This window comes from Homo sapiens, chromosome 1 (assembly GCF_000001405.40).
Source record: "Homo sapiens chromosome 1, GRCh38.p14 Primary Assembly".
In the NCBI taxonomy this organism is placed as follows: Eukaryota; Metazoa; Chordata; class Mammalia; order Primates; family Hominidae; genus Homo; species Homo sapiens.
This window is the reverse complement of record NC_000001.11, coordinates 239,469,259-239,490,326: the sequence shown is the minus strand read 5'-3', so window position 1 is coordinate 239,490,326 and position 21,068 is coordinate 239,469,259. Positions and strand designations below refer to the sequence as shown.

Here is a 21,068-nt window from a genome sequence, read left to right as displayed (position 1 = left end):
CATGACTAGATCTTTCAGCCAAAGAACACTCTTCAGCAGTGCTTAACATATACACAACTGCCACATGTACATAAGACATTCATTTACTCCTGAAGTCACACAAATGAAAACCAGAACTGCCAACTTTGAAGTCAAAACCAATCAGGAATCAATGAAGCAGCAAAAGAAATACTACTTTTAGCTAACATTATTGAGCACTTACTATGTACTCGTACTAAATAGTATGCAACATTTGTTTATGTCCTTAAGCCTCCAAACTACCCTACGATACAATTATTTTCATATTTGCAGAGAGACTAGATAACTTGCTGAAGTTCCCACAGTGAGTAGGGGAAGAGCCAGGACCTGAATCCAGGTAGTCTATTGTTAACATCTGCTCTCTTTAGCACTACCCTCTACTGCATGGGAAGAGGTGAGAACAGATTATTTTTTCCTCCTTCTTCCCATGAGAACTGTCCATATGCCTATCCAGAAACAAAGCCAGAACAATCCACCACCACTTAACAACAAAACATTTTCATAAGTTCTGGATACATGTATCAGAACATGAATACATTGTACACTAGTTCCTCGAATTTAAGAAAATGGAACAATAAAGTAAATGGCCTAATTGCAAGTTATTTTTGGTAACAATGGCCATATATGTCCCCAAGATATTCTTAAAGCCCCCCAAAATAGCAAAAAACATAAAGTATCACTAACTAATCATCTATGACTGATATAAATAGATGATCAGCTCACTGAAGGCAAAAGCTATCCTGTTCCTCTACCTAACTCATGCCTTCCACAAGATAGGTATTGAAACCTTGTTGAAAATGTGTAAAGGGTTAGATGACATTCATTACAGCTCTGTAAGTGATACCAAGAATGAGAAACGAAGTTGTTCCTAACTGACCCCCAATTTTTTTTTTTTTGAGACAGAGTCTCGCTCTGTTGCCCAGGCTGGAGTGCAATGGCGCGATCTCAGCTCACTTGTAACCTCTGCCTCCCAGGTTCAAGCGATTCTCCTGCCTCAGCCTCCTGAGTAGCTGGGATTACAGGCATGTGTCCCCACGCCCGGCTAATTTTTATATTTTTAGTAGCGACAGGGTTTCACCATGTTGGTCAGGCTGGTTTCGAACTCCTAACCTCATGATCTGCCTGCCTTGGCCTCCCAAACTGCTGGGATTACAGGCGTGAGCCACCACGCCTGGCCCCCAAATTTTTTCTTACACAAAAAGAAAGACTTGCAATTTTTATCCTGCCTTTCTCTAGCTGCAGAAGATCGAGGAGAAGTTTGAAAATCCTTATTTGTAACCAGATTTTTATTACAAAAGTAGCATATAAATATAGCTGAAAATATATGGACAGATATAAATTTCAAACCTTCCCAAACGTTCTCCTAACCTATTTTCTAGAAGTAACTACTGACATTAGTTTCTCAACAATTCTTATGCAATTTTATGCATACAAAATGCCTAACAATTTATACAGGGGAAATTGTAACTTAAGTACAGTATATGCTGTACTTTCTTCCCTTTACATTGTGAAGATGTCTTATACCTGTATCAACATCTACAAAACCATCTAATTCCCTTTTTTTTTTTTTTTTTTTTTTTTTTTTTTTTTTTTTGAGAAGGAGTCTCGCTCTGTCATCCAGGCTGGAGTGCAGTGGCGGGATCTCGGCTCACTGCAAGCTCTGCTTTCCAGGTTCACACCATTCTCCTGCCTCAGCCTCTCAAGTAGCTGGGACTACAGGCGCCTGCCACCACACACAGCTAATTTTTTGCATTTTTAGTAGAGATGGAGTTTCACTTTGTTAGCCAGGATGGTCTCGATTTCCTGACCTGATGATCTGCCCACCTCGGCTTCCCAAAGTGCTGGGATTACAGGCCTGTGCCACCCGCGCCTGGCCCATCTAATTCCTTTTTAATTGCTTTAATTCCACAATAGAGATTTACTATAATTCAGTTGGTCCTCTATTAATGAACATTCTGGTTGTGTCCACTGTAATAATACTTTCTGTACCTCTGCTAATACATAAGTAGGAAATCATTCCAGGAGGGGAGTTTGACTTTTAGGAGGAGTTAACGGTTATGTACATTTCATAAATACTTTTAAGCATGTATGTATGTTGGTAGATTCTTTGTGTGGCATCTTGCATGTTAGTATGTTGGTAGGCAATTAGCCAAATGCCTACCCATGAGTTTGCACCAATTTACACTCTCACAAAGAGACTATGAGAGGACCCATTTACCAACACCCTTAGTATACTGGGCATTAACAAACTTGTTTATCTTTGCAAATCAGTGTGTCTTATTTTAATATTCACGTCTTTATTGAGTCATGTGATTGAGTTTTACATGATTACTGACTATTCCTTTAAATGTGAACTGTTTATTGCCTAATTTTCTATTGGGTAGTTTGTATTTATCTTTCTTTTAAGGATATTTTTCTTTTTTTTGTCTTTGTGTTTTGTTTTTTTTTTTTGCAAATATTACCCAAGCATATTTTTGTCATTTGACTTTGTATTTGTAGTAGCACAGCTTTTTTTCTATAAAAAGCAATACAATTTTTCCCTTAGACATGAAGATTTATACATTTGATATGATTGAAAAAAATGATACTATCTTGGATTCATTTTCTTATTATCCTTGTAAGCACTTCAACATTTTATTGTTATCTTGATTGGAATTGCAATGTAGTCATAAAGAATTGACATTTTCACAATACCAAATCTCCCTATCTAAAAACTTGCCATTGTATTGCCAAAGATTCAGCTATTTTTTTAATCTCACAGTGAAGTCTGAAGTGTTTGGTTTTTTTACATGTTTCTGACTGAACTTCTCCTAGGTATTGTATACTTTTTGTTGCTATTGTACATGGAGGCTTTTCTCCCAAAATCTAAGTGTTAATTTCCTGTGTACCTTAAAACTACTAAATTCTGAACAACAATTTTTTTAAGTAGACCATGCACTAAATTCTACTCGGTTTTTCATTTATTTTCAAGGGGTTTTCTGGTTTACTGAAGACTATATTATCTGAAAATAATGATAATATTATACTGAATTTGAAAAACGAATAATATTTTTATTAGGGGTTTCAATGTACCTATCATGCACAAAAATCCTAAAAATAGCTTTGTCTTGTCTCACTTTAATGTCTTAAACAAGGGACTTCTCCTCCATCTATTACTGACTTCACAAAATTCTACCTATTTTGGCTATACTTTTCTATATCGAGTTTCATATGCAAGTGGAAGAAAGAATAGCATAAATATAACAAGAATTTAATATGTTCTGCATCAGCTTTTATTGCTTCTCTCAATAAGTTCTATCTAGAAATTGGAATTGCAATAAATGTCAAAATCTAGGAAATTCAGTGACATAGAGCAAATGGTTCTTCATATTTTCATTTAATCAATATTACTGAATGCGAGGATATAAAGATGAATAACATTTGGCCCCATCCAGGAAATTGTCACCTTTAAGAAGGTAACCTTCCCATTACCGTACGCAGCAGTAGAGGGCAGTGCCACAGGTAATCAGAAACAAAGTTTCTGGTGATGGTGATGAGGAAGCATCAGAGAGCAGAAAGTTCAGGAACACAGAGGTAGGGGAAGATATTCTAAATCAGGGGTTGGTAAACTACAGCTTATTAGCCACCTGTTTTGTAAATAAAGTTTTATTAGAACACAATCACACTCTTTCATTTACCTGGTTTGGCTACTTTCACATTACAACCACAGAGGTGAGTAGTTGCAAGAGAGGTCATATGGCCTGCAGAACCTAAAATATTTACTATTTGGTTCTTCAAATAAAGTTTGCCAATTCTGGTTCTAAATTGTGTCATGATCAAGTTCCCACAGACAGAAAAGAACTCAACATTTTCTATTGTTCTTGTGTGTATGGGCAGGCATCAGGGGATGATGGCTGAAAGTAAAAGGGACTGACACTGGATGGGGTTTGTGGCGGTACAAGTTGAGAGCTAAGAAAGAATGATCCCCTTGTCCCCAGAAGGCACTATGATAAATGAAGACCAAGCAAAGCACAGACCACAGCCAGAGTAAATCCTTGAACACTAGGCTAAACAGTTTAGGTTGCATCTGATAGCAAGAGAGATTTATAGATATTGCTAGAGGGCATGATCAATATAGAAACTGAGAATGACAAATCTGATATTCAAGCATTTGGAAAGAGAAACAGCAGGATGGGAACCTGTGTGTGGGGACGTGGCTTACAGTTTTGTTTCCCAAGCACTTTGTAAGGTGTCTAGCCTACAGTGAGCACACCAAATTTCTCTCCTGCAATGAGTAAAAACAGCAGAGCTATTGCATTAGTTCAGGAGTAAGTTAATGAGAGTACCCCTAGGTAAGTGCTTGGTGGAGACAGAAAGGGAAAACTAATTTTGAGACAATTATAAAGAAACAATACAGACCGTACCTACCAATACTAAAGAATTTGAAAATAACATTGCAAGGAGTATGGCAGATCACCGACTGACAGAAAACATTAGGTGGAAGAGCAATCTTCTAGTGTTGACAGGGTACTCAGTTTAGCATTGTGGAGGTCAAGTTCTAGGAGAGAGCAAAAGGGCTCACTGAAAATTTACATCACGCAGTGGCAAATACAGAGCTAGAGAGGGTTCAAGGCAAAAATCTAAGTGAGGAAATCTCACAGGTGACATAACATGTTTTGGGGAGGCAATCTTTAAGATCAGGAGATTTCAAGTGAAAACCTTTTGCCTTCTTTCTCTTAAAATAATAGGGAGCCAGGTGTGGTGGCTCATGCCTGTAATCCCACCACTTTGAAAGGCCAAGGAGGAACGCTTAAGGCCCGGAGTTCAAGACTAGCCTGGGCAATATAGTGAGACCCTCATCTCTACAAACATTTAAAAAATTAGCCAGGTGGTGGCATGTGCCTGTAGCCCCAGCTACTTGGGAGGATTGCTTGAGCCCAGAAAGCTGAGGCTGCAGTGAGTCATGATTGCACCACTGTACTCCAACCTGGGTAACAGAGAAAGACCCTGTCTCAATAATAATAATAATAAGATTTTGCCAGTATTATACCCTGTTCATGTGTGATGCTGACAATCATGAGCTGAGTAGGGTCTCCCCTTTGGGATGGCTGGATTCCCAGTGTGCCACAGCCCCCACCGTCCCCTCATGCCTTCCCAACACTGAAGCCAAGTGTCATTTGCAATTTATCATTGAGCTGGAATTTACATTTTTCCTTAGTAGAGAAATAGTTTCTGTTCCCTCATCAAGTTCATAATAAATAAGAGAAATGTTCAGCAAAAATCAACTTAACTTCAAGATCTCCATAAATATAGGGATATCCTGTCTTCCTCCATCCAACAAATTTAGACTGGTGAAAGTATAGGCTCATAAAAATGTATGAACTGGAGTTTACTTATAATATTTCCTGTTATATGAGAAGGTTTTATGTTATAGAGGCCTTTTTTATAAGATCCCTTTCAACTTTCCCCTTGCTTCCTCAGAGCACAGCTGCCCAAGGATAGAAGATGTACACGGTGTGTACTCTGTGCCACTGGCTCTGACATATGTCAGTGTGGGATGTGAGTGCCCCTACACAATGCCCACCACTGTCCTGTTCCCATGTTTCACTTTATTTTTCAAAAATAATTTTTAGGGACAAGATTTGCTCTGTTGCCCAGACTGGAGTGCAGTGGTGCCATCATACCTCACTGCAACCTCAAACTCCAGGGCTCAAGTGATCCTCCCACCTTAACCTCCTGAGTAGCTGGGACAACAGTCACACACCACCACACCTAGCTGTTTCTTCCATTCTAATAACAGTGTTCTACACTGTTGGAGTTATATCCTGGTGATGTGGTTTGGATATTTTTCCCTCCAAATCTCATGTTCCAATGTAATTTCCAATGTTGGAGGTGGGGCCTGGTGGGAGGTACCTTATCCTGAGGGCAGTACCCTCATGAATGGCTTATCACCGTCCCCTTGGTGATGAGTAAATTCTCATTCAGTTAGTTCATGGAATACCTGGTTGTTTAAAAGAGTATGGCACCTCCTCTCTCTCTTGCTCCTGCTGTCACCAAGTGGTATGCCTGCTCTCGCTTCACCTTCCATCATGACTGTGAGCTTTCTCAGGCCCTCACCAGAAGCTGAGCAGATGGTGGTGCCATGCTTGTACAGCCTGCAGAACCGTGAACGATTAAACCTCTTTTCTTTATAAATTACTCAGTCTCAGGTATTCAATTATAGAAACACAAGAAAGAACGAATACATCCAGAAACATTTTAAAATAAAGATCTTTTGGAGATCTTGAGGAAAAATTTCAAAGCTGAAAAGACTACACACTTACTTCGTTAATAGCATTATGTTTTTCAACAAAGTCCATTGTGGTTAAATTACTGTTTTCCTTCCTGTACAAAATAAGCTTCCAAGAGAAAGGTAGCCAAATTCATAACTGTGCTAGAAGGAGACAACAATATCCTAGTTGTGTAAAATCCACACTTGCTGCAATATCAAATTGTCATTTTAGCCTATTTAAGGATACTCAGAAACAGGAGCGGTTTGCCAACAACCTGGTTAAGTAGATGGGGAAGAGTCATAATTTGTCTCTACTTTATTAACACCACTTTCTGTTTACTTAGACTCTGTCTCTGAGGTGCTCAAATAATTTTTCAGACAGTATCCAATTAATCTCTAGCTACGTAGGTGGCAGCATTTCAGATTAAATTATCTCTCAGTCACTTCCTCATTAAAAAAGAAAAAAAGATGTCAAGCATATGACAAAGCATCTTGTCAAAATGATTTCACAGTTGAAAAAGCCTTGCAGAAGAAGGGCAAACTACTTCTAGTTGCTCCTGCAAACCCTCTCTTTGGAGGGACAACCATCTTAGGCTCCTTGAGCTCAACCTTATAGGGAAGTCCAATAGTGAAGAGCCTCTTCCAGGACCGTACACAGGAAATGGAGAACCAAAACTGGGAATCCAAGAACAGCATGATTAGCTAATTTTACAGAAGCTACAGAAGAGCTGTTTGGAATTCCAATGAGAGCTTATGACAATGAGAGCTTCTTAACAGTCTTCTACTGGGACAACACTTCTGAACCTCATCTTAGTAAATCTTTAATATCTTCCTGTACAATGAAGGTTAGAATAATTAGAATGTAGAAAATGTAGAAAGAATGTGAAGTAATTTTTTCAAACACTTTATCAAGACTGTTAATTAGGCTATTTTAAACTAGTGTCCTCAAATTATCCCTTTTCCCCTTCATATTTATTTCAGATGGTGATGAACCCAAACCAAAAAGCAACTCTAAAGAGATCCATTTGATTCAAATAGTGTCTTTTACAAACTCGATTGTGAAATCAGAAGCGAATAGCACGGTGGCTTTCTAGTGCAGGAGGAGGGAGAGCAAAATGCTTTAGAAGTATAAGAATACAGTAAAATATTAAAGGCATATCAAAATTTCCGAGGCATTTAGTTTCATATAAACAAAGATGAAATACCATAAATTCTTATCATATTATTCATTCAATCATTTGACAAATATTTACTGACAGTCTACTAATTTCTAGCCACTAAGCTAGGTACCGGCCATAATGGATAAATATGAAAGATATGATACAAAACCATATGAAATTTACAGTCTAAGAAAGAACATAGACAAACCAGCCATTGCAATTCAGTGTAATGAGAGAATTCTACGGTTGAGAGCTAGGTAGGAGTAACCTAGGTATGGGAAGTCAGAGAAGGCTCCCTGGAGGCAGTGGTATATTAATAATCTGAGATACTAAGAGTGACTAGGGGTTAGGCCCGTGAACTGACAGTGAGGAGAAGAGTAGTGATGTGAGAGGTATTCTAGGCGTTAAGGTTATCTTGTTTTTGCTGATGAAAGAAACTATAGCTCAACCAGAATATTTGGCTTTCCAAACACAGTCCTGTGACTTTGCAGAGTAGAAGCTTGAAAACTCTTTTGGTTTCCAGTCTTGTGGGTGCTTTTCTCCCCTAAAGAGCCACAGTGTTTCCCATCACAGTCGCATGTCCACGTGGACAGAAGTTTCAAAAAAAAGTCATGCAGAAAAGAGACATGATATATTCAACAGAAGTGTGTGAAAATGCTTGTTCTAAGAGTAAGCAGAGTGGCTCATAAAAGCATGTGGGTGTCTCTGGGCTGTTACTGTCATACCCGAGGCAGGGGCAGAAGTGCCAGCAGAGGAGAGAAAGGAAAAAACTAAGAAGTTGAGCAAGAACATAGGTGAGGTGTCTGGGAGAATATAAAAGAAGAGAAAATGAAAAAAATAAGCCTTTGTAATAGAAAAAAGAATTGTCTTCGAAACATGCTTCCAAAAAAATATAAATAAAAAAGAAGAAGAACTTCTTGCTGGATTAATCTTCCTAAAGCTATGAAGCTATGTTATGTTTGAAGTTCACCTTGTTCAAAAGTTATCAATCACTTCCCTCCACTCCACAGTACAGCACCACTTACTTTACCAGTTCATTATTTCCCCCAAAAGATTCTATTACTCCAACACATAGCTGTACTTTTCTCCCTCTCCATCTCTGTGGGTACCATTCTTGCTGCCTATAGTGATATACCTTGTATCCCAGCCCCTAGAATAGCACTCATCCAGTAATTAGCTGTTCAAATATCATCTCCCACACTACATGTTATTCTAAGCCATCCTACTTACTTCTGTGTTTGTCTCTTTTACCAATAGTTCAATGAAATTTTGCTCTTCAACATGACCAACGTCCTTTTAATTGAAAGTTCAACAAATATTAGTGCCTACCTATCAGGGAATTGTGCAAGTTCAAAGAAAAGAAAAACATAAAATATGACCTCTATCCCAATAAGTTCATATTGTAAATCCTCAAATTTTGTGCAATAAATCAGCAAAAGTATTTTTTATTTAAAAACTTGGATATTTTTACATTGAAAAAAGCCCTAGTATGTGGAAAAGTGCAAACAGTGCTAACGGAAAGTGAAGTAAAAAAAATAAATAAAGTGCAGTAAAAAATCCCTAACTCACAAATTCTAAAATACGTCTTCCGAAATTTAAAATCTATTAGTAGTCTATACATAGTTAAGAGATATTCTTTATGTGTGTATATCTGTTTATGTCTGTGCATAAAAGCATACATATATGTACATATGCATGTGGAAACATATAGGTTCCTATACTCAACCTGATTTTTTCCATTCAAAATTATATGTCATGAATATTGTTCCAGGTCATCACACTTACATGTATGTACCCCATTCTATTTAACAGCTGCCAAATTCCATTAAATGGAAACACTGTAATTTGTTAAAGTTTCCTATACATAAAATCGTTATTTTCTGTCTTCTGTTCATGTAAATAATGTTAAAATCTTATTTATGCATTTTAGTATACAAGGGAGCAAGAGCTAAAATCCTCACTCTGCAAGTTAGTGGCTGTAGAATATTGCCAAGTTACTTCACTCATCTGAGCCTTGGTTTGTTATAATATTTAGGCTATTGGCCAGGCGCAGTGGCTCACGCCTGTAATCCCAGCACTTTGGGAGGCCGAGGCGGGCAGATCACAAGGTCAGGAGATCGAGACCATCCTGGCTAACACGGTAAAACTCTGTCTCTACTAAAAAAGTACAAAAAATTAGCCAGGTGTGCTGGTGGGCACCTGTAGTCCCCGCTACTCAGGAGGCTGAAGCAGGAGAACGGCATGAACCTGGGAGGCAGAGCTTGCAGTGAGCCAAGATCGTGCCACTGCACTCCAGCCTGGGTGACAGAGCTAGACTCCGTCTCAACAAAAAAAAAAAAAAAAAAAAAAAAAAAATTGGGCTATCGTAGGATTACCTGAGTTAAAATGAATAAAGTTACATTTCGCATTACCTGCCACACAGGAGGTGCTCCAAAAATGGTATCTCTTATTTTTCCAGGACTTCATTAAGTATTACATAAGATACTGTTCATGTGCTATGAATCTCACAGTACACCATTATATACAATCTTTGCACAGGGCTTAAAAGATAGATAAATAAACACATATGTGTATTTCACAAAAAAAGTTCTTTGTTTTTACCTACATAATTACCCTTATTGTTGGTCATTTTTTTTCTCCATGTAGGAGCTTTTCATCTGGTGTAATTTTCTTTCAGCATAAATCACTTTCTTCAGTATTTCATCTTAGTGCAAGTTGGCTGTTGACAAATTATTTTAGCTTTTGTCTGCCTTAATATCTTATTTAATACTCATTTTTTCTAGATGTAGAATTCTAGGTTAACATACCATCTTGGAATGCATAATTATGATTCAGTCAACTACAGATTGCATATATGATGATGGTCCCATAAGATTATAATGGAGCTGAAAATATCTTATTGTCTAGTGACACCATAGCCTTTGTAACATCATAGCACAATTACTTTATTTTTAAAATAAATTTAGTGTAGCCTATGTAGACAATGTTTATAATGTCTACAGTAGTGTACAGTAATGTCCTAAGCCTTCACATTCATTCACCACCCACTCACTGACTCACCTAGAGCAACTTGCAGTCCTGCAAGCTTGATTCACTGTTAGTGTACTTTAGACATGTGCTATTTTTTATATTTTCTACTATATTTTTTACTTTGACTTTTCTATGTTGAGATACACAGATACTTACCATTGTGTTACAATTGCTTACAGCATTCAGCACAGTAACATGCTGCACAGGTTTGTAGCCTAGGAGCAATAGGCTATAACACATAGCCTAGGTTTATACTGGGCTATACCATCTTGGCTTGTGTAAGTGCACTCTATGCTGTTCACCTAATAATAAAATCGCCTAAGAACACATTTCTCAGAACTTATCGCCACTGTTGAGAAAAATACTTTTCCCATGTATTATTTCTCAGCACTTTGAAAATGTGGTTCCAATGTCTTTTGGCTTCCATTGGGTCTGATGTAAAGTTAGCCGTCCTTCTTATCTTTGTTCGCCTACTAATGATGTGTGCCTTTCATTTTCTGGCTGCTTTTAAGATTTTCTTCTCATCTTTGGTTATAGCATTTCGACTATAACGCATACAGTGTGGTTTTCTTTGTATTTAGACTGCTTAGGGTTTCCTGAAGTTATTAGATCTGTAGATTGCTGTCTCTCTGTTTTTCTGTGTGTGTGTGTGTGTGTGTGTGTGTGTGTGTGTGTGTGGTTTTTTGAAATGGAGTTTCACTCTGTCACCCAGGCTGCAGAGCAGAGGCACAATCTTGGCTCCCTACAACTTCCACCTCCTGGGTTCAAACAATTCTCCTGCAAAAGCCTCCCAAGTAGCTGAGATAACAGGTGCCAGCCAACACACCTGGCTAATTTTTGTATTTTTTCATAGAGACAGGGTTTCCCCATGTTCGTCAGGCTGAACTCAAATGCCTAGGCTCAAGTGATCTACCCGCCTCAGCCTCCCAAAGTGTTGGGATTACATTCATGAGCCAGCATGCCTGGCCTGCTGTCTCTTTTTAATTTGTGAAAAACCATAGGCCATCAGTTATTCAAATATTCTTCTTCCTCATTCTGTCTCTCCTAAGGAAATTCTAATTACACTAATTGAGACTGTTTGATACTGTCACCCAGTTCCCAGGCATTCAATTCCATTTTTATACTCTATTTCCTACTTGCATTTTAGCTTAAACAATTTCCATTCACCTATCTTAAAATTCACTCATTCATTCTTCTCATTCATCCATCCATTCCACTATTAAATTTATGGACTGAATTTTCCATATCTTACATCATATTTTTGAGTCTAATATTTACACTGGATTCTTCTTATAGCTTCTGCTGCTCTGCTGAAATGTCACACATGTGTTGATTCACATTGTCTACCTTTTCTGCTACATTTCTTGGAATATTTATTATAGTTATTTAAATTTTTTTTAATCTAATAATACTGGCATCTGTACTATATCCAGGTTTGTGTCTATTGACTGTTTCCTTTTTAGATGATCAAAGTCATTGCTGCTTCAACATTTTGTTAGTGTCTATTTTATGCTGAACACTGTGTTCAAAGAAGAGTTGGGACTGAAAGTAACAACATATTCTCCCAGAAATGAGTACACTCCTTCTTTTGTCAGGCTGCCAGTGTGGGGATGAGTTCATCTTACCTAAATTTGAGCTCTATTTGGGCTTTTTACATCCCTGATTCAGTTAACCACTGAGGGTGAAATCAGGACTTTCCTTTCATCAGAACTTGGGAACTTAGCACCAGCAAGACTCCAGATATTTCTTTTGGCTGAAGCCCACTCAACTGGTTTCCACATTGTGGGAGATCTTTAATTGCTTTATAAACTTGCTATGAGCTCTTAAAGTCACTGGAAAATTCAAGTTCTCTCCAGCCCTACTCCTGGATTATCACACCCTAGGTGCACCTTCTCAGTACTACCCCAGCTTCAATCAGCCTCGCTGTGCAGCTGACCTCAAGGGAATGTCTCTCAGTTTTAAGCAGTTACTTTAAAGCCTTAAGCAGTTACTACTTGTATTTGGTAACTTCCAGAGTACTTCCAAGGGGTTGTACTCAGCTCTCCTGCTCCTCTGCAGCCTTTGGACTCTTCTGCTTTGCACTCAGTGAAGACCTAAAGTTTTCTAAAGGAATTTTGCTCAGCTTCCTCAGATATGTCTCAGATTTTCACCCATGCCCTCGGCCTCATACTGGAAAAGGTTCTGTACCATCAGTGAAGGCCCACTGGAAAAAGTCAATGGGTGGATGCAGACTGATTGTGAAGGTGGGGATCTTCAGGATTCTAAGCCAGTACATGAGCTGTCATGTAGATATTTAAAGTTGATTAAAAGTTGGCTCATTTCTTCTTACCCCTTCAATGTCAGATTCATTTCTCTTGCTGCTTCTCTGAGATCAAAAGCAGCCCAGGGACTCTTAATACATTTCTAGATTTCAGTTCATGTAAGTGTCTTTGCTTTGCCAGGTCTTGAATGGATTTTAAAACCAAGAAGACTTTTCTCGTTGTTAGAAAAACCTTCTTCTTCTATAATTTTCTAAATCTTAACCTAAATTGGAAGTTCCCTAGGCATTTCTCTACATGCTCTCTTTATACTAACTTTGTAGTCCTCAAGATGCTACAGAATTATTGCTAGCCTTGCCTCAATTTTAGAATTGAAAACTCAGGCAAAGAAAGATCAAATATCTTGCTCACTTCATACAGCTAAAAAGTGGTTGAGTCACATATTTAACCTAAGAAGCACTAATTTAATTCACTATTATTCTGTTCGCTTTAATCATATTTTAAGTAATAATGAATTTGGTGGACTTTCATGAAATCATTATGCTACTTTAGCTCAGCAATTTTGCACATGCTGATCCAAAAGCCCAGAATACCCTTCCCTGGACATTTTGTGGGTCTAACTTCCATTTGACTTCCAATATTGTCCTTGTAGTGACCTTGTGTGTCCTCTAATCCCTTGAAAATTATTTTATTTTCCCTGTGTTTCCTGACTTTTGGATTACTCTGAAGTGTATTTTTATTATTTTGTCACCTAACAATGGGATTATTTATTTCAGTTTAAAGGTACTTCTCTGGAAAATATACGTGGAGGTTGAAGAAAACATTGAGCATATTATTTGAAAATGTCATCAACATGCTTTTAAAAAGTAACTTTTAGATAGAGGCTATTTTAATTGGGTTGAAATGATATGTCATCCTTTTTCTCAACATTGCAGATAACCTATATGTAGCAATTTTTATTCACAATTATATCCACATCTATATCTAAATCTTCACTGACACATTTCAAAAGGGAGAGCTCTTTCTCAGGGGATTTTTGCACAGATTTCTGCAATTTGACAACGATGTGAACATAATCAAGTCATTCAGTTTGTTACTAAGAAGGTTTTACAGTGTGAGAAACCAGCAATTTTTTTTTTTTTTTTTTGGATGGAGTCTTGCTCTGTCACCCAGGTTGGAGTGTAATGGCACAATCTTGGCTCACTGCAACCTCCAACTCCTGGTTCAAGCAATTCTCCTGCCTCAGCCCCCCAAGTAGCTGGGATTACAGGCGCCCACCAACATGCCCGGCTAATTTTTGTATCTTTAGTAGAGACGGGGTTTCGCCACGTTGGCAAGACTGGTTTCGAACTCCTGAACTCAGGTGATCTGCCTGCCTCGGCCTCCCAAAGTGCTGGGATTACAGGCATGAGCCACCGTGCCCGGCCAGACCAGCAATTTTATCCACTCATGATGCAGGCCCATGTGGCAGTATAACCATTCATAAGAGTCAAATAATTTCCACTGATAGTTTATTAGGATACAAAAAAAAAACTAACTAGAAAGAAGTAACTGTGCTTTAAGAATCCAAAGAAATTATGTTCATTTTTCTCTCTGCTTTCAGTATAATACCTTATACTAGAAGGTCATTTTTAAAGGAAGACTATTCATGATTGGGGGAGACCAAATGAATGATTTTCTCACAATTCTCAACCACAGAATTACAAATCCACACCATCCACTCCATGGCATTATTTTCAATATTGAAGCTAATAAATTTCCACTATATGTTGAAAAACATACGGACAATCCAAACACTCAGAACTTGTTACTAATAACATAAATAATTTTAATATTATTTTTAGAAGTTTTAGATTTACTGAAAAATTGAGAAGATAATGCAGGTTTCCATATCCCTCTACCAGTTTTCCCTATTATTAGCATGTTACATTAGTATTTGTTGTAATCAATGAGTTAATGTTGGTACATTGTTATTAACTAAAGCCCAATGTTTATTCAGATTTCTTTAGTTTTAAATTCATGCCTTTTTCTATTCTAAGATCCCATCCAGGATACTACATTAGATTTACTTGTCATATATCCCTAGGTCCTCTTGGTTATTTTTGATGACCTCAAAAGTTTTGAGCAGTATTAGTCAGGTAATTTCTTAGACTCCTCTCTCACTACTCATGATTGGAATTTGTCTGAAGTTTTTCTGATTATTAGACTGGGGTTATGGATTTTGAGGATGACAATCCTATAGGTAAAATGTCCTCTTCATCACACCATATCAGGGTACATTCTGAACATAATATAATACTGTTGATGTCAATATAAATATTAATTTTGAACATTATTGTTTTACTAATATAGCTCTTATTTTCTTCAAGTCACATTCTTACTTGAAACTATCCTTCACACATACAACATGGATGGTTTGTTCTTCATTATCCCTTAACCAGACAATACACAATTTTGTCAACTTAATTTTACTTAGGAATTAAATTATTCCATTTTCCTAATTGTTTTTTGTTCTTCACAGACCTTCCTCTTAATTGTATATATATGTCTGGTACTTTGGTCCCCCCAAACAACTAGACATAAAAACATAATTTAATCTTATTCTTGTGAGTAGGAAATATCAAACTAGTTCTGCTTGTGGCCAAAATTTAGAATAGTACTAAGTATTGCAAACTTATTTAGCTGTCTCATTTATTTTTGTTTGATGTAAACACAGTCTACTATTAACAACATATCAGTTCATGATTTTAAAAAAAGTGAATATTTACTCTTCAGTAAAAATCATTTCAGATAATTTTTGGAAGGGTAGTTAGTTTGTTTGTTTTAAATAGGTTCTTTGTATGCAGTAGCCCACCTTCTGCAACAAAATCCACTTATAAGCTGATAGTTGGCATTGTTTCGTTTCACTACACTAAATTAGTTTGAATCAAGTTATTTATTTCCTTTGTCAATAATTACATTACTTCTCAAAGCTGTCTTAATTTTTTGATTATTTGTCTCATTATATTTCCATAATACATCATTCTACAATTAGTATGTATTGAGCATAACTAGACACCAGTCACTATTCCACATGCTGGTGGCATGGTGACAAGAGTGAGAAAAACAAGTTAGCAAACACACAAACATATACACACATATACCCGCATCTACACCAATAATCAAAATATATAGATATACATGATGTATGTGTTACTATAGTACATGCTGATACTCCTTAAAGTGTGTTTCTAATAATTTACTTGTAACAGAGTTATGGAAGTAAAAACAATACTAACTTACAAGTTATGAGGCAAAAGAACTACCAAATTAATTTCCAGAATATTTTTACCAATTTGCAGTTACAATGAAGTTTATGAGAAATATATTTCAACGTAAGTTTGCTAGTTATTTTTTTAAATGCTTTTCTAATTTTATAAGTAAAAGTAACATCTCAGTGCTTTAGTTACTCTTTTTAAACAAGATTGAATATCTTTATATGGTTGATTTTAATTTTATTTTTTCTTTTATACTCTGAAATGTCATTATATATGATAATGCTATGTATATAATATTTAAAAATCCATGCTCAACACTCAGCCCTTCAAATATTAGCACTTTTTCTTGTTTCAGTTATTTTCAAATAAAACAATACAGATTCCACTGAAACCTTCCCTAATACCATTTCTTTCTCAGTTGCTCTCCTCAGAGTAAACACTATCCTAAATTTTATATTTACCTTTCTCAGGCATTTTTTTTTTTGAAATTTACTACAACTCTGTGTATACAGAAATAATACGCATTACTTACATATGCCTTAACAGTGCAGAACTGGTATAATAACGTATTGTGTCTCTGAAAATTCCTCTTTATTTACTTTATTTACTTATTTTTACTAAATGCTTTTGGGAGATACATTTATCCAAGTTGGTGTCACAGCGAACAGGATTCCACAGTAATAAGGCGCCACAGTTTACCTATCTTCTTTTCCAGTGTCATTTGAGTTGTTTCTGGCTTTCATTATTATAAAATTATTATAATGTTGCCATTAAAATATCAATATCAAGGAGTAAAACTGCTTTACTGTACATTGCTAAACTACCCTCCAAATTAGTTACACAAAATTACTTACTCACCAACATTTCCTGAGGGCTCTGCTGCATTACATTCTTGTAGCCATTTGAATGAACTATCACTTATATGAAATGCCTATTCTTTTCTTTCCAATTTTCTCTTGGGATGTCTTTCTCTGGGAAGCTTCAATCTATTCTAAATGCCAATCTAGTTTGGTTATATGTGTTACAGATAAATTTCCCCAGTCTCTGACTTGCTTTTTACTTTCGCAAGTCCTTTTTTTTTTTTTTTTTTCAAATATGCTTACGTTTATTAAGTTAAATGGATCAGTATTTTCTTCTTATGGTGTATTTCTTCCTTTCCCTGAGTTCATAAAGATTTTCTCCTATATTACTTTCATATTTTAAAAGTTAGTATTTAATAGACTTGGGATTCATAGTTAAGTTGGTTTGAGGAAATGGACTAATTTTATTCATTGTGTTTATACATAGCCAGTTTTTTTCCAGCACCATTTAAAAAAACTGTTCTTTTTAAATGCTAATTTGTCACACATCAAGATTTCTTTTTTATCTGAGACTATTACTGATCTTTCTTTGTTATTTCATTGGTTTACTGTATATAACTCAGTACCAATACCATCATGCCTTAATAACTATAGTTTTCTTAATTTTAATTTTAAGTTCTGGGGTACACGTGCAGGATATGCAGGTCTGTTACAAAGATAAACATGTGCCATGGTGGTGTGCTGCACCTATCAGCCCATCACCTAGGTACTAAGTCCAGCATGCATTAGCTATTTTTCTTACTGCTCTCCCCCTCCTCCATCCCACCCCCAACAGGCCCTAGTGGGTGTTGTCCCCCTCCCTGTGTCTATGTGTTCTCATTGTTCAGCTCCCACTTATAAGTGAGAACATGTGGTGTTTGGTTTTCTGTTCCTGCATTAGTTTGCTGAGGACAATGGCTTCTAGCTCCATTCATGTCCCTGCAAAGTTGTTATCTGTAAAAGCAAGTTGTTACCTGCTCTTTAAAAAATTTTGTCTAGTCTTGGCAGTTAAGTTTGCCACATCGGAACAGAATTGCTCTTTTGATGACATTGCTTTTTGCTAACAATGAACATGGCACATCACTCTATTAATTATTTTCAGGAGCTTCCAGCAATGAGGGCTTCCTCTAGAGTGTGGCTACAGGAAGGAAAGAGGAATCACCGAATGTACAATATTAGGTCACCGCAAACACCAAATCTATAAGAAAAATGAAATCATTATATAACTAAATTAAGATACATGATAGAAAACTTCTCAGTACCTATACTTGAGGACAAGAAAGGGACAATCAGGGCTATCTACAAGACGGGATGGGCCAGAAATGAAGCTATTAGAAGAATAATAGAGATATGTAACAAGCTATCTTCCCTGTTCTTTGAGGCTAATAAGCTTGCAATCACTTGTGTCCTATCTGCCTATGAAGTAATACTGGACATCACATAATAAATGCATGGAATGCCAGGAAGTTTTCTGCTGAATATTTGGTTACTCTCAGAGTATTGGAGTCTCCTTCATACAGGCAAGCAACAAAACAAAACAAAATAACAACAACAAAAAAAAAATTGGCGAGTCCAGCACGTGGATAATAACCTGTGTGTGATTTCTCAGGCCTCCCCGCAGTCAATCACACAGGCTTTGCTGGGCAGGCCGCACAGGGAAGCTGCTTCCTGGCTCCAGGTTTGGTGCACAGCCCATGACACACTGTCTCTGATGGGAACTGAAGTCAAGACCTCAGACCTCACTGCACAGCCGTGCTCTCAAAATGGGTGTATTCCTAGGCCCAGAGCCTTCATTCCTAGGTCTCTTCCTCTGAGGCCTTGGGCAGAGATCCTCTTCAGGTGGCTCTGCTGAGACCTCCTCAGTGGGAGAGGAGAGAAGGGGGAAATCTTGAAGATGCTTTCCCCTACTCTCACTCACTACCCAGTATTTTCCCACTCCTAGCCCCTCTTCCTGATCCTGCCTCTGACCTCAGGGTCCATAAAAGTGCCAGTCTTTCGTTCAGGCTCTCTGAGCCATAAGACAACCCCAAGTATGTATGGATCTACCTGTCAACTGTGCGTCATTCCATGGGGAACAATGGACCAGGGGGAGTCAGCGTTTCTCAGGTTTTAACTTCTTGCTTCTACTAGTAACATATAATGTATAATGTAATTAACGTCTTTACTCTGTCAATTGCAGCTTGTAGTTTTGATTTGCTGCTCAACACCTGGCAGCTCAGCTCTCTCCTCTAGCTCAGTTAAGTTCCAGGCACCACTTTTTGATACAAAAAGAAAAAGGCCAGCAACAGTGAAATGTTTAACTAAAATTTACTATCATAAACACTTATTTTGAAATTCTTCAAAAGAAAATTAGTGATTCATTATCTCAATTAACACAGAGAATTTATGAACATTTCTTAGAACTATTTAAGAGATTAGAAAGATACACAGTTTTTGTATATGCAACAGGAAATCTTGTTTCTATAAATGATCTATTTGATACTAGGCTGGAAACTCAGCCCCTTTTCCACTGGAAACTATTTTATTTCACCAGAAATTTTGCAGGAAGTGAATGTAATGAAAAAATTAAAGCCTCTTTATAATTCTTGAACTGAATCCATTCACTTTTTTAGCCAAGTCATCTGTAAACCAGAGCCTGAAGCAAGGATTTAAAAAAAAATACTGACACTTTATTGGGAAGGTGCAATTTGAGGGTGGTGACAGTGAGGAAAAAAGAAAATGAGGCAAAATAAAAACACAAAACAATGCCATGTAATGTGATGTGATGTACTAGCTTCCACTCCACAATGACCTGGGAAGAAACAATGCAGTTGGCTAGACAGATGTGGCCAGTAGGCACTGAGGCTTTCCCAGAAAGACTGCAAGAGGAAATCATACTATGGAACAGTCCGAGGAAGAAGGCAGGGGAAATTGTTTAACTGGTTCCCTCCTGTTTCCAGTTGGTTAAGGTTCACACCACAGTGTGTAAACACCTCCACAATTCTGGGTTGCTTCCCTGGGCCCTTTGATGGTCACTCCACAACCCAGATCCAAGGCCCACACGGTAACATTTTCTGTAAAAGAGTGGGGGGGTGTGAATTTTTCTACTAGGGCCGCCATAGCAAATTACCACAAACTGGGTGGCTTAAAACAACAGAAATGTATCCTTTCCCAGCACTGGTGGCCAGAGGTCCAAAATTAAAGAGTGGGCAGTAGTGGTTTCTTCTGGAGTTCTCAGGGAGAGTTGGTTCTACATTCTCTGAGCTTTTGGTGGCTGCCAGCAACACTTAGTGTTCCTTGGCTCCCAGCAGCATCACTATAGGCTTCCATCTTCACATCACCTTCTCCTCTGTGTTCTCCTCTGGGTCTCAAATCTTCCTCTCCTTTCTTTTATAATAACACTGTCTTTGGATTTAAGGTCCCATCCTAAATCCAGGATGATCTCATCTCAACATCTTTAATTCCATCTACAAAACCCCTACTTCCAAATAAGGTCACATTCACTACAGGGCGAATGGCACAGACAAGGCTCAGTGGGTAGGATGTGAACGTGACACAAACTTAAGCCTTCACCTGAGACTCCAGCCAGTTTATTAAGGGGCTAGGCAGTAAGTCAGGGAAATGCATGGTGGTTTTGAAAAGGAGGCTGTCCAAGGAATCTGACAAAGTGCTCAAGACTGTCAGAGTGCGGTGGCTCATGCCTGTAATCCCAGCACTTTGAGAGGCCAAGGCGGGCGAATCACCTGAGGTCAGGAACTTGGGACCACCCTGGCCAACATGGTGAAACCACCTCTCTACTAAAAGTACAAAAATTAGCTGGGCGTGATGGTGGGTGCCTGTAATCCCAGCTACTCCGGAGGCTGAGGCAGGAGAATTGCTTGAACTCGGGAGGCAGAGGTTGCAGTGAGCCGAGACTGTGCCATTGCATTCCAGCCTGGGCAGCAGAGAGAGACTCCATCTTCATTAAAAAATAAAAATAAAAAAATTTTTTAAAAAAGTGCTCAAGGCTGGTGTCTAAAACATAACCCTCACAACTAACTACCAGCTTGAAGATTTTCATGTGGTAGTAATGATTGTAAAAATAAAGTTTGTTCCTCAAACGTGCATTTGTTAAAAAACCTTCTACGTGCCAGGTACTGAGGATACCAAGATGATTCAGAGACAGACCTTTGGGAGCTCACAGTCCAACCAGCACAGAGAAACATTTAAAATTGAATGGGTTTAATAAATTTCACATACAACGTATGGGAGGAGGGGACAGAGACACACAGGTATGA

General features: G+C 37.7%; 1 protein-coding gene across 27 annotated transcripts in view; it reads right to left on the bottom strand.

Moving 5' to 3' along the window:
* The window catches only part of CHRM3 (cholinergic receptor muscarinic 3), a 528,883-nt gene that overhangs the window by 425,124 nt on the left and 82,691 nt on the right, over nt 1-21,068 (bottom strand). Inside the window, exons 1-2 of one of the 27 annotated variants that reach the window (XM_017000152.3) lie at nt 5,999-9,457; nt 4,426-4,555 (exon numbers count right to left, since the gene is read on the bottom strand). The exons of the other annotated variants lie outside the window; for them this stretch is intronic. The gene's annotated coding sequence lies outside the window, so the exon portion shown is untranslated. Of the gene's footprint in view, nt 1-4,425; nt 4,556-5,998; nt 9,458-21,068 lie in introns of those variants that run through there. 27 annotated transcript variants of the gene reach the window in all.